At 49.2% G+C, this 14,051-nt stretch overlaps 1 long non-coding RNA gene across 2 annotated transcripts in view, besides 3 other annotated features; it reads right to left on the bottom strand.

Annotated features, from left to right (window-relative positions):
* Positions 1 to 5,448, bottom strand: part of LOC124903876 (uncharacterized) — a 33,818-nt gene extending 28,370 nt beyond the window's left edge. The window contains exon 1 of one of the 2 annotated variants that reach the window (XR_007065537.1): positions 5,279 to 5,448. This is a non-coding gene — a long non-coding RNA (uncharacterized LOC124903876). The remainder of the gene's footprint in view (positions 1 to 5,278) is intronic. The other variant, XR_007065538.1, reaches the window with a different exon arrangement.
* Positions 299 to 593: an enhancer, noted in NCBI's record as "tiled region #7496; K562 Activating DNase unmatched - State 12:CtcfO, and HepG2 Activating DNase unmatched - State 8:EnhW". NCBI's record gives its function as "activates a minimal TATA promoter and a strong SV40 promoter by Sharpr-MPRA in K562 cells, with weak activation in HepG2 cells {active_cell/tissue: HepG2 | K562}" and the evidence as "EXISTENCE:reporter gene assay evidence [ECO:0000049][PMID:27701403]".
* Positions 5,200 to 5,494: an enhancer, noted in NCBI's record as "tiled region #6048; K562 Activating DNase unmatched - State 1:Tss". NCBI's record gives its function as "activates a minimal TATA promoter and a strong SV40 promoter by Sharpr-MPRA in K562 cells {active_cell/tissue: K562}" and the evidence as "EXISTENCE:reporter gene assay evidence [ECO:0000049][PMID:27701403]".
* Positions 13,867 to 14,006: a silencer, noted in NCBI's record as "silent region_415". NCBI's record gives its function as "represses an Ori minimal core promoter by ATAC-STARR-seq in GM12878 lymphoblastoid cells {active_cell/tissue: GM12878}" and the evidence as "EXISTENCE:reporter gene assay evidence [ECO:0000049][PMID:35858748]".

Raw genomic sequence — 14,051 nt, 5'->3', positions numbered from 1 at the left:
AAAGGACCCAGCCTAGTGGGCTGCCTGTATCCATCTGTAACCATGGAAACCCCTTAGGGAGACAATTCCAAAATCCTCCTTGCCACCTCCCACCTTGCAGCTGTGGCTCCAGGAGCCCAGCCTCCAGCAGGAGAGGAATTACTGATAATTGCTGCTCCCCCAGCACTGCCACCACCAAATGGGACACAGCTGGGCCTCCCTCCACAGGGATCTCCCCCACCCTCCCAGTCCTAGAATTGGTGTTGGTAAAGGGGCCTTAGATGGGTTTTAAGGCCTAAGCTGTATTTCTTTTGCAAGAGTCAAAAGATCCTTGTAGTTCCGTACTGGTGAGATCTGTCCTTGATCCCACATTTGGGCACAGAGATAAAAGGGCCCAGCACAATTCTTAACCGTTGAATGGTCAACCAGTCACCTGGGAAGGGCTTAGGTCTTCAGTGCATGACTCCCCTCTGGCGGCCAGTTGCTGCAATTGTCAGAGAGGAACAAAAATGATGACCTCTTTTCCTGGGTATTTACTGTGATCCAGATACACACACATATTAGATCTAATCCTTACTACCTCTTGGTGAGGGGGGTGTCGTCCTACTTGCACATGCTAAAGCCAAGGTGTCCAGAGAATATCCAGAGGAAGGATGACAAAGTGGTTGAGAGGGTGTACCTGGACAGCCCTGGCTCAAAACCACCTCTACTGTCACCAGCCCTGTGGCCTTGGGTAAGTTACGTAAATGCTCAGAGTCTCAGTTTCTTCATCTATAAAATGGGGGTGATGATATTACACATCTCATGGGGATGATATGAGGATCATATGCGTGGAAGTTTATGAGCCTTCAGAAAGGTGACCCACACATAGTAAATAAAATTCAGGGCCCTGACACACAAGCTGTCCTTCAGGCATAATCATCGAACTACTCCTGGGCTCAGTTCCTTCATCTGTTCTGTGGGGCTAATGGTGGCTTCCTCATAGGGCTGTTGTGATAATTAAGCAGATCGGGCATGAATGTGCTTGCTTTGCAACTATTAGCTTTTTTTTTTTTTTTTTTAGACAGGGTTTCCCTCTGTCATCCAGGCTGGAATGCAGTGACACAATCACAGCTCATTGCAGCCATGACCTCCTGGGCTCAAGAGATCCTCCAGTCTCAGCCTCTTGAGGAGCTGTGACTACAGGCATATACCACTACGCCCAGCTAATTTTTAAATATTTTTGTAAAGACAGAGTCTCGCCAGGTAGCCTAGACTGGCCTTGAACTCCTGGACTCAAGCCATCCTCCCGCCTTGGCCTCTCAAAGTGCAGGGATTATAGGAGTGAGCCACTGTGCCCGACTTCTTAGCATCACTTTTGATCTGCTTGTTTGGGGAGGAATAATCACAGGGGTGGGGCAGTGTATAGGGCAGGGCGTGGGGGAGAGCAGTGGGCGGGGAGGTGGGTTAGAAAGTGAATTATAGGCTAGGTATGGTGGCTCACTCTTGTAATCCCAGCATTTTGGGAGGCTGAGGTGGGAGGATTGCTTGAATATAGGAGTTCAAGACCAGCCTGGGCAACATAGCAAGACTCTTATCTCTAAAAAAAGAGAAATAAAGGAAAGAGAGAGAATAGGGAGAGATGGAGGGGAGGGAGTGGGAGGAAAAAAGTGAGTTGTGCCTCTCTTCATGAGCCTGGAGGAGGTACGTGAGAATTCTGGCTCCTGTGACTACCTCTTTGGCCTCATAAGGCCCCCAACTCACCATTTCCCCCCAAGCAGAGTTACAGAGGGACTCTGACAGTGGCCAGAGACTTTCTTGGAAAGTCTCTTGGAAGGGGATTGTGAGTGATCTTGCACCTATTCCAAAAAACCTTTCATTGGCCAGGCCGCATGGCTCACGCCTGTAATCCCAGCACTTTGGAAGGCCGAGGCAGGCGGATCACCTGAGGTCAGGAGTTGGAGACCAGCCTGGCCAATGTGGTGAAACTGTCTCTACTAAAAATACAAATTAGCCAGGCGCAGTGGCTCATGCCTGTAATCCCAGCACTTTGGGAGGCCGAGGTGGGCAGATCACCTGAGATTGGGAGTTTGAGACCAGCCTGACCAACATGGAGAAACCCCATCTCTACTAAAAATACAAAATTAGCCAGGTGTGGTGGTGCGTGACTGTAATCCCAGCTACTCGGGAGGCTGCAGCAGGAGAATCACTTGAACCTGTGGGAGGCGGAGGTTGCAGTGAGCCAAGATTGGGCCACTGCATTCCAGTGGGCGACAGAGCAAGACTCCATCTCAAAACAAACAAACAAACCTTTTGTTGAGTTTAGTTCAATAAGCAATTCTTGTGCTTGTACTCTGCAGTGGGTACTATGCTGGATATTGGGGTGTGAAAATTAAAAAGACAAGGAGAAGCTTAAATCTGGGGGTGGGGTGGGGAGGAAGAACATTAAAACAACTGTAATTACAATTGCAAAACGATTATAGAGGGCCGGTGTGGTTGCTCACCCCTGTGATCCCAGCGCCTTGGGAGGCCAAGGCAGATCACTTGATTCCAGTTCAAGACCAGTCTGGGCAACATGGTGAAACCCCTTCTCTACAAAAACAAACAAACGGGCCGGGCGCGGTGTCTCACGCCTGTAATCCCAGCACTTTGGGAGGCTGAGGCGGGCAGATCACGAGTCAGGAGATCGAGACCATCCTGGCTAACACGGTGAAACCCCGTCTCTACTAAAAATACAAAAAATTAGCTGGGCATGGTGGCGGGCACCTGTAGTTCCAGCTACTCGGGAGGCTGAGGCAGGAGAATGGCGTGAACCTGGGAGGCGGAGCTTGCAGTGAGCTGAGATCGCGCCACTGAACTCAAGCCTGGGTGACAGAGCAAGACTCCGCCTCAAACAAACATACAAACAAAAACAATGATAGATTGAGATTCCTAACAAGAGGTGGGGTGCAGGGCTCAGGGTCAGCTTCCAAAAGATGGCTGGCATAATCTACCACCACCCCAACTGTGGCCAACACCAAAACCACCTCGATTTCAAAACTGAATGTCTTGCTTATTTCAAAAGAGATCTGGGCTGGGTGTGGTGGCTCACGCCTGTAATCTCAGCATGTTGGGAGGTTGAGGCAGGTGGATCACTTAAGGTCAGGAGTTCAAGACCAGCCTGGCCAACATGGTGAAACCCTGTTTCTACTAAAAAGAAAGAAAAAAAAAAAACCACAAAAATTAGCTGGGCGTGGCGGTGGATGCCTGTAGTCCCAGCTACTCGGGAGGCTGAAGCACGAGAATTGCTTGAACCCAGCAGGTGGAGGTTGCAGTGAGCCAAGATCACTCCACTGCATTCCAGCCTGGGGGACAGAGCGAGACCCTGTCTCAAAAAAAAAAAAAAAAAAAAGTTCTGGCCGGGCACGGTGGCTCACGCCTGTAATCCCAGCACTTCAGGAGGCCGAGGCGGGTGGATCATTTGAGGTCAGGAGTTCGAGACCAGCCTGGCTAACACGGTGAAACCCCGTCACTACTAAAAAATACAAAAAAAAAAAATTAGCCAGGCGTGGTGGCAGGCACCTGTAGTCCCAGCTACTCGGGAGGCTGAGGCAGGAGAATGGCGTGAACCCGGGAGGCAGAGCTTGCATCGAGCTGGGATTGCGCCACTGCACTCCAGCCTGGGCTGCAGAGTGAGACTCCATCTCAAAAAAAAAAAAGAGTTCTGAGTCATTTTTCAATGTTAGCAATTGAGCTGGCTTCATTTTTTTTTTTTTTTTTTTGAGACAGAGTCTCGCTCTGTCGCCCAGGCTGGAGTGCAGTGGCACGATCTCGGCTCACTGCAAGCTCCGCCTCCCGGGTTCACGCCATTCTCCTGCCTCAGCCTCCTGAGTAGTTGGGACTACATGCGCCCGCTACCACGCCCAGCTAATTTTTTGTAATTTTAGTAGAGACGGGGTTTCACCATGTTAGCCAGGATGGTCTCCATCTCCTGACCTCGTGATCCGCCCGCCTTGGCCTCCCAAAGTGCTAGGATTACAGGCATGTGAGCTGGATTCCTAATTTTGTCCCAGGTTTCTGTTCTCTTAGCCTGAGGAGTTAAAAATGCACCCTTTTAAAATTGAGTGCTGTTTAAGATCACGTGGGGGATATGGGGGTACACAGCATTCTCAATGATTTATTTATCTGGTTTAAGAAAGAAAAGAAGGAAGAAACTTCTATCTGAGAGCAGAACAGTTTTTTCTGGTGGAAGAGATGGAGAGAGACATGTGAAGCAGGGAGAACAGCATGGGCAATAGAGAGAGCTGAGAGGTCAGAGGGGAGTTAGGAAGAGTGTGTTGGATTAGAACGTAAGGGGGCCGGGTGCAGTGGCTCACACCTGTAATCCTAGCACTTTGAGAGGCCAAGGCAGGTGGATCATTTGAGGTCAGGAGTTCGAGACCAGCCTGGCCAACATGGTAAAAACTCGTCTCTACTAAGAATATAAAATTAGCTGGGCAGTAGTGGTGCGTGCCTGTAATCCCAGCTACTTGGGAGGCTGAGGCAGGAGAATCGCTTGAGCCTGGGAGGCAGAGGTTGCAATAAGCAGAGACTGTGCCACTGCACTTCAGCCAGGGTGAGAGGGTGAGAGCCTGTCTCAAAAAAAAAAAAAAAAAAAAAAAAAAACCTAAGGCCCATGTGTGAAGGGTCTGAAGATCGGAGGGACCTGGTGGTGGGGGTGGCTGGGCCGTGGTGGGGAGCTAGTTGCCAGACCTTGAACTAGAGAGAGACAAGGTCAGGTGTGTGTGTTAAAGAGATCCCTCAGGAAAACGAGGGAATAAACTGACAATTACAGGAATTATAGGGGCGGATCACGAGGTCAGGAGATCGAGACCATCCTGGCTAACATGGTGAAACCCCGTCTCTACTAAAAATGCAAAAGAAATTAGCCGGGTGTGGTGGCGGGCGCCTGTAGTCCCAGCTACACGGGAGGCTGAGGCAGGAGAATGGCGTGAACCCGGGAGGCGGAGCTTGCAGTGAGCCGAGATCGCGCCACGGGACTCCAGCCTGGGCGACAGAACGAGACTCCATCTCAAAAAAAAAAAAAAAAAAAGAAGAAGAAGGAATTATAGGTGGCATTTCCCCAAGAGACGCTAAGCAGCTCTGCTGGGACCTGACTCCCGCATGGGATGTCCCTCTTCCCGCATGGGATCACCTCCACGGGACCCAACATCTGTGAAAAGCATTCCCAGGGCCTACAAACATCTGGAAAGAATCTGGCCAGTCTAGTAGCCCTGTCCTCAGCGGGGCTGCTTCTTTCACATCCTGTTTCTCCTCCCCAAGCCCATAGCGGGTGAGTTACCTTGATGAGAAGATAAGACGCCTCGCAGGCTTTGGCAGGTGCCAGAGTTCACCTCTAGGTGGCAGCCTTCACCTTTCAGCCCCACCAGCTTCCAGCCAAAGGTCTGAGAGAAGGAAAAGGAACTAACGAAGACGCAGGGGGACCCACCAGGCGCCGCAGGCACATTTACTGAGCTGCAGAGCCACCATCTCAGGCGCACGTCATTCTCTCCACGTCACAACTGAGAGACGTGAAGTCACTGGTCCAAAGTCACACAGATGGGTGGCAATTGGCTTCTCTGAGCCTCATGTTCTTCATCTGTACAGAGACTGACCCATTCCCAGCAATCACTAATCTACTTTTTTTTTTTCCTGAGACAGAGTCTTGCTCTGTCACCCAGGCTGGAGTGCAGTGGCGTGATCTCGGCTCACTGCAGCCTCTACCTCCCGGGTTCATACAATTCTCCTGCCTCAGCCTCCCAAGTAGCTGGGATTACAGGCATGCGCTACCATGCCTGGCTAATTATTGTATTTTTAGTAGAGACATGGTTTCACCATGTTGGCCAGGCTGGTCTCGAACTCTTGACCTCAAGTGATCCACCCACCTCAGCCTTCCAAGGTGCTGGGATTACAGGTGCTGGGATTGAGCCACTGTGCCTGGCCTTTTTTTTTTCCGAGGCAAAGTCTCACTCTCGCCCAGGCTGGAGTGCAGTAGCACGATCTTGGCTCACTGCAACCTCCACCTCCCGGTTCAAGCGATTCTCCTGCCTCAGCCTCCCAAAGTGCTGGGATTACAGGTGCCTGCCACCACGCCCAGCTAATTTTTGTATTTTTAGTAGGGACGGAGTTTCACCATGTTGGCCAGGCTAGTCTCAAACTCCTGACCTTAGGTGATCTGCCCACCTCAGCCTCCCAAAGGGCTGGGATTACAGGCGTGAACCACCACGCCCAGCCCCACTAATCTACTTTTTGTTTCTATAGATTTATCTATTCTAGTCTGTAATCCCAGTACTTTGGGAGGCCGAGGTGGGCGGATCACCTGAGGTCAAGAGTTCAAGACCAGCCTGGCCAACAGGGTGAAACCCCATCTCTACTAAAAATACAAAAATTAGCCAGGCGTGGTAGTGCACAACTGTAGTCCCAGCTACTTGGGAGGCTGAGGCAGGAGAATCCCTTGAACCTGGGAGGTGAAGGTTGCAGTGAGCCAAGATCATGCCACTGCACTCCAGCCTGGGTGACAGAGCAAGACTCTGTCTCAAAAAAAAAAAAAAAAAAAAAAAGATTTATCTATTCTAGACATTTCACTAAATGGGATCATACAAACATAGCCTTTTGTGTCTGGTTTCTTTCACTTAGCATAATGTCTTGAAGAGTCTTCCATGTCATAGCATGTATCAGTACCTCATTCCTTTTTATGGGGCCAGGCGTGGTGGCTCATGCCTATAATCCCAACACTTTGGGAGCCGAGGCAGGAGGATTACTTGAGCCCAGGAGTCCAAGACCAGACCACGGGATATAGTGAGACCCCCGTCACTATTAAGAAAAAAAAGGCTGGGCACGGTGGCTCACACCTGTAATCCCAGCACTTTGGGAGGCTGAGGTGGTGGATCACCATCACCTGAGGTCAGGAGTTTGAGGCCAGCCTGGCCAGCACGGTGAAACCCTGTCTCTACTAAAAATACAAAAATTCACCGGGCGTGGTGGCATGCACCTGTAGTCCCAGCTACTCGGGAGGCTGAGGCGGGAGAATGGTGTGAACCCAGGAGGCAGAGCTTGCAGTGAGCCGAGATCGCACCACTGCACTCCAGCCTGGATGACAGAGCGAGACTCCATCTCAAAAAAAAAAAAATTTTTTTTTCCTTTTTTTGGCTGAATAATATTCTATTATATAAATATACCACTTTTTTTTTGAGGCAGGGTCTTGCTCTGTCATCCAGGCTGGGATGCAGTGGCATGACTTCTGCCTCCCAGGTTCAAGCAATTCTCCCACCTCAGCCTCCCAAGTAGCTGGAACTACAGGTGCACGCCACCACACCCAGCTGATTTTTGTATTTTTTTTGTAGAGATGGGGTCTCACTGTGCTACCCAAGCTGGTCTCAAACTTCTGGGCTCAATTGATGCACCCGCCTTGGTCTCCCAAAGTGCTGGGATTACAGGCATGTGCCACTGTGCCTGGACTCCACATTTTGCTTATCCAATCATCAGTTAATGGGCATTTGGGTTGTTTCTACTTTCTGGTTATTATGGATAATGCTGCTATGAACATCTGTGTACACATTTTTGTGTGAACATATGTTTTCAATTCTCTTGGGTATATGGGAGTAGAATTGCTGAGTCATGTGGTTAACTCTGTATAACTTTTTTAAAAACTGCTGAACTATTTTCCAAAGCAGTTATACCCATTTACAATCCCACCAGCAATGAATGAGGGTTCCAATGTATGAGGGTTCTCCACATCCTGGACGACACTAGTTATTGTCTCTCTTTTCTATTATAACCATTCTAGTGGGTTAGTGAAGTGTCATCTCATTGTAGTTTTGATTTGCATTTCCCTAATGACTAATGATGTTGAGCATCTTTTCACGTGCTTATTGGCCTCTGTATATTTCCTGTTTTTTTTGAGACGGACTTTGGCTCTTGTCTCCCAGGCTGGAGTGCAATAGCACAATCTCGGCCCACTGCAACCTTTGCCTCCTGGGTTCAAGCGATTCTCCTGCATCAGCCTCCTGAGTAGCTGGTACTACAGGCGCCCGCCATCACGCCCAGCTAATTTTTGTATTTTTAGTAGAGTCAGGGTTTCACCATGTTAGCCAGGCTGGTCTCGAACGCCTGACCTCAGGTGATCCACCTGCCTCAGGCTCCCAAAGTGCTGGGATTACAAGTGTGTGAGCCACTGCGTCCGGCCTGGCCTCTGTATATTTTCTTTGAAGAGTTGTCCAACCAAATTGTTTGCCTTCTTAATAAATTTTGGTACACACACACACACACACACACACACACAGCACATTCACATCCCATCCCAGATTCACTTCAACGCAATAAACCCGAGACAGCTGTGATTAGCCCTGTTTATCAGATGAAGGAACAGAGGCCCAGAGTAATGCAATGATATGTCCAAGAGCACATAGCTTATGGAGTGCCAAGATTTAGAATTTTATGTTTTTTTCTTTATTTTTCTTTATTTTTATTTTTTTGAGACGGGTTCTCACTCTGTCTCCCAAGCTGGAGTGCAGTGGTGCAATCTTGGCTCACTGCAACCTCCGCTTCCTGGGTTCAAGCGATTCTCCTGCCTTAGCCTTCCGAGTAGCTGGAATTACAGGTGTGCACCACCACACCTAGCTAATTTTTATATTTTCAGTAGAGACAGGGTTTTTCCATGTTGGCCAGGCTGGTGTCGAACTCCTGGCCTCAACTGATCCACCCACCTCGGGCTCCCAAAGTGTTGGGATTACAGGCACGAACCACTGCACCTAGATTTTTTTTTTTTTTTTTTTTTTGAGACAGAGTCACTGTCGCCCAGGCTGGAGTGCAGTGTCGAGATCTCGGCTCACTGCAGGCTCCGCCCCTGGGTTCACGCCATTCTCCTGCCTCAGCCTCCCGAGTAGCTGGGACTACAGGCGCCTGCCATCTCGCCCGGCTAATTTTTTGTATTTTTAGTAGAGACGGGGTTTCACCGTGTTAGCCAGGATGGTCTCAATCTCCTGACCTCATGATCCGCCCGCCTCAGCCTCCCAAAGTGCTGAGATTACAGGCGTGAGCCACCGCGCCCGGCCTGCACCTAGAATTTTATGTATTTAACAAACATTCATATAGTGTTTACTACATGCCAGTCACTGTTAGAAAAGCCCACGAACCCATCTTCCAACAATGTTCCAGTAAAAAGGTTACCACTAGCAGAACTTCCTTAAAGCAATACCTTGTTTCTCTTTTTAAAAAACAACTTTTTTTTCTCCAATCACCAAAGTAATACATGTTTATTGTAGAATAGGAAAAGCACAAAGAAGATGGAGCAGGGATTTTTCTCCCTTGTTTCCCATAGCTCTGATCTGGTTTCTCTGTGATTTGGGATTCGTGTGAACAGGTGATGTGCTGAGGAGCCCGGGACAGGGAATATGTACCTTCAGGAAGTGTCTGTCAAGCAGTTTGTATTCTGATTAACAGGACTTTGAGCACAGGGAATCTGTGGAATTTTTCAGGAGAAGATACACCAGCTGGAATGGAAGTTTGCTTTAGTTTGGGGATTTTTCCAGGACTATCTGGGGTTGCCTGGAACAGGAACTTCCTCACTTACCTGCTCTGTGGCCTCAGGCAAGTCATGGCTTCCTCATCTGGAAAATAGTACTAAGCATCCCCAACTCATCCAGTTGTGGGACACAGTCTTTCCACTTCCAGCAATGTGTGCAGCACTGGAACCCCTGGTTCATTAGCAGAATGTACCCTCCTTCACATGGGGTTTTGGGGCTGAGTTCACTGTTCACAACAGCGCAGTGCCTTGGGAGAGATCTGAGTTCAGATCCTGATTTCATCTTCAAACAGTTGTCAAGTTCCTTTACATATTTCAGCTTCAATTTCTTCATCTGTCCAAAATGTACCTGTGTTACAGGGTAGTTGGGAGGTTTCGACAAAATAATGTATGTAAAATACCTAGCTGGGTGTTTACGCCTAGGAAGTTCTCAGGAAATGTGAACTATTATCATTTATTTCAGGCCTACTTTGTGCCTGGCATCTCAGGGGAGGAAGGCGCAAAAGTGAAAACAAAGCCTGGGTCCTGCCCCCAAGGAGTCTGAAGATTTGTTGATAGGTAGATTAAAGTAAAAGGGTCTTATGCACTGGAGATAGGATCAGAGACGTAAGAAAACTGCCAATTCTTGAGGCTCCTTATAAACCAGGTTCCATGCTGAAAGCTTTATATGCATTATCTATGAGATTTCTTCACAATCCTATGAGGTAAGTGCTATTAGGATTAGAAAATCAAGGATCAAAGATCAGAGAATTTAGGAAATTTTGCCTGGGTCACACAGCTAATAAAGTGTCAGGGCCTGGGTTTGAACCCTGGGATGTCTGACTTCAGATTCTTTGCTCCTTCCACTCCATTTGAGTTGGACCTTGAAGGATGAGTCAGATTTGGGCACATGGGGATGGAGGGGAGGAGGGGCCTGGAGGGGAGGCGGGGCCTGAAGAATAGGAGGATATGGAGCCAGGTAAGCAAAGCCTGGGAGATGGGAAAGTGTAGGGCGTGTACGGCAGAAACTCTGAGGGTTTTGTGTGTGTGTGTGTGTGTGTGTGTGTGTGTGTATGTGTGTGTGTGTGTTTGAGACAGGGTCTCGCTCTGTGACCCAGGCTGGAGTGCAGTGGCACGATCTTGGCTCATTGCAACCTCCACCTCCTGGGTTCAAGCGATTCTCCTGCCTCAGCCTCCCGAGTAGCTGGGATTACAAGCACACACCACCACGCCTGGCTAATTTTTTTTTTTTTTGTATTTTTAGTAGAGACAGGTTTTTGCCATGTTGACCATGCTGATCTCAAGCTCCTGGTCTCAAGTGATCCACCCACCTCGGCCTCCCAAAGTGCTGGGATTACAGGCATGAGCCACCGTGCCCGGCCTGTTTGTTTATTTTGAGACAGTCTTACTGTGTCACCCAGGCTGGAGTGCAGTGACATGATCATGGCTCACTGCAGCCTTGACCTCCCTGGGCTCAGGTGATCCTCCCACCTCAGCCTCCCGAGCAGCTGGGATTACAGGCGTGTGCCACCACGCCCAGCTAATTTTTCTGTATTTTGGAGAGACAGAGTTTTGCCATGTTGCCCAGGCTGGTCTCAAACTCCTGGGCTCAACAGATCTGTCCACCTTGGCCTCCCAAAGTGCTGGGTTCACAGGCATGAACCAATGTGCCCGGCCTGAAACTGCAAGTATTTAGTCTGGTTCCATGTGAGGGCCTCTTCGGGTCCATTTCACATAAACCTTAGCCAAAATATATTAAGTACCTACCATGCACCTGACATTTCTCTAAGGACTTTATAACCAACACCTTACTAAGGCCTCACAGTAAATGGAGAGGTCACTTGTGCCGCCTCCATTTCAAAGATGAGGAAATTGAGACTCAGAATGGTCCAGCAACCTGACCATGATCACAATGCTAGGAATGAATGGGGCAGGAATTCAAGCTCAGGGAGGCAGATTTCAGATCTGTGCCCCACACCTATTGCAAGAATTAGTCAGTTCCCAGGCAGTGAAACTCTAAAGCCAGCCCCAGCTGCCCGAAACTCAACCACAGAGAGCTGGCTCTCAGCCCCTCACTGGCTCCCTTCTTTTCTCCCAGCTCCACCCTGCCACCCCCATTTCCCTCCCTGGCCCTGGGGCCCTGCTGCTTCCCCAAACCTGCTCTGCCACAATTCCTTCCAGGTTCCCTCATCTGTAAAATGGGGATAATAATAGTGTCCGTCTCAGAGCAGTGTTGTGAGGATCAGAGGAGGGGCTCAAGGTGCTTAGAGCCCAGTGTATAGTAGGTTCTCAATAAAAATCAGTGATCATCGCCACCACTGTCATTTAAGTAGTGTCTCTGAAGTAATGTGAAATTGACTGAGTGATAGCATTATCCACATTTGATGGTTGAGGAAATTGTGGTTAAGAGAAGTGAAGCAGCGGCTGTCCAGTGTCACTTAACTAGGAAGTAGAGAGCGGGACTTACTTAATCTGGGCCTCCTGACTTTCTGACTTCAGATCTCATTAACTTCTCCTATTCTTTGCAGCCAGGCAGATGAGTGAATCATAATCAGTATTTATTACCTGCCTTCTGCACTCCAAGCCAGGCCCTAGATGCTAAGGGGCATTCTAGAGAGATCTGACCTAGATTCTTGAAGGAGCATAGAACCTAACTGATAAACAAGGTATGAAAACGAAGCCTTGTTTTGTTGAGGTAGAACACACTAAGGGTCCCAAGAGGGTAAGAGCCATTCTGGCTGAGAGGAAGCAGGCAGGGGAGGCTTCTTGGAGGAGGTGAGATTTAAGCTGGCCCTCAAAGGACCAAAAAGGACCAATGAGATACGTAGACTAGAGTAAAAGGGTCTTATGCACTGGAGATAAGGTCAGAGATGTGACCGGGAGCGGTGACTCACACCTGTAATCCCAGCACTTTGGGAGGCCAAGTAGGGCGGATTGCCTGAGGTCAGGAGTCCGAGACCAGCGTGGCCAACATGGTGAAACCCTGCCTCTACTGAAAATACAAAAATTAGCCAGGCATGGTGGCTGGCGCCTGTAATCCCAGCTACTCGGGAGGCTGAGGCAGGAGACTCACTTGAACCTGAGGCAGGAGAATTGCACCGCTGCACTCCAACCTGGTGACAGAGTGAGACTCTGTCTAAAAAAAAAAAGTCAGAGATATAACAACAGCTGCCAATTCTTGAGGCTCCTTATGATCCAGGTTCTGTGATGAAAGCTTTATATGCATTATCTCATGAGATTTCCTCATGATCATATGAGGTAAGTGCTATTAGGAGGAGAAAATCAAGGATCAAGGATCAGAGAATTTACAAAATTTGCCTTGGTCACACAATGAATAATAAAGTGTCTGGGCCTGGGTTTGAATTCGGGGCTGTTGGCTACAAAGCCTGGGCTCTTAATCATCATGGGTTATTGCCACCTTGGCCTCAACCATCTAATGAGGAATTAAGCTGTGGACTGTCTCTGGAGGGCTTTGAATGCCAAGGCTCAGACTTGCATAAAAATCACACAGCACCAGGCAAGAAATCAGACCTGAAATCTAGCAGCAGCTTCTAGCAACTTTTTACCACTCACTACCCAAGTTTGCTTCTCTGAGCCTCTCTAAACCGGAGTGATGAGGAATGTATTATCAGCAATGAAGGTTTTTGAATGAGGCAGAGAGGCTCTTGTGACAAAAGGATTGTTTAAAAGAAACCTAGAGATGTTCAAACATTTACTGAGTATTGGGTCCTAATAATACAACTGTGAACAAGACAAAGCTCTGCAGTGGGACTCTGACCCTGCTGTGCCCCCAGGCAGCTTGGGAGAGTAGAAGAACCCCTTAACTGGAAAAACAAGGGCTCCAGAGCTGGGACCTGTCCCAGATTCTGTTGCCAGCTCTCAAATCAGGGAATCTCTCTGTATGACCTTGGGCAAGTTACCCAGCCTTTCAGACTGTCAGTCTTTATCATGGGGATCATCATTCCTCTTCCCAGGATTGTTGGAATAAATTAACTAAAACAACGCTTGTAAGGATCTAGCATGGTGCCTGGCATCCTGTAGGCGCTGAATAGATGTTAGTTTTCCCTACAAAGAAGTAGACTAGTTTGCCTCCGTCCCTCACCCCTCTGCCATTAAAGGGAACAGGTTCCTGGCCTTCATTTTAGCAGGAAAGGGGATATGAATGCACATGTGCTAGCTAAGCAACAATGCAAACTAACAAAAGGGCCTGTGGCCTGGGGAATACACTGCTGGGTCTGGGCTCAGGCTGGGACCCCGCGCCAAAATGTTTCCCTTCAATCCCAGGGAATCCGGGCCCATTTCTCGGGGCGCTGTGCACTGCTCTGGCCGCCTCTGCACTGTGAATCCCGGAACCACCCTCTGTCTCCGTCTCGCCGGCTGCTAACTAGCGCGGCCGGCGGCTGGCGGCACCAACAGCAGGTGTGGCTGCCCCTTTAAGCAGCGAAGCTAGTGTTGCAATCGCCGCCTCGAGGACGCGTTCTTTCCGGGGGGGGGGGGGGGGGTGGAGCCTGTACTGTCGCAGCAGCCAACCGGAGCGCGGCATTTTCCGCGGGAGATCCGAATTTCGCGGCAC

Source organism: Homo sapiens, chromosome 1, assembly GCF_000001405.40.
Source record: "Homo sapiens chromosome 1, GRCh38.p14 Primary Assembly".
NCBI classification, from domain to species: Eukaryota; Metazoa; Chordata; class Mammalia; order Primates; family Hominidae; genus Homo; species Homo sapiens.
Note: the sequence above shows the minus strand (reverse complement) of the source record. Positions and strands in the feature narration are given on the sequence as shown.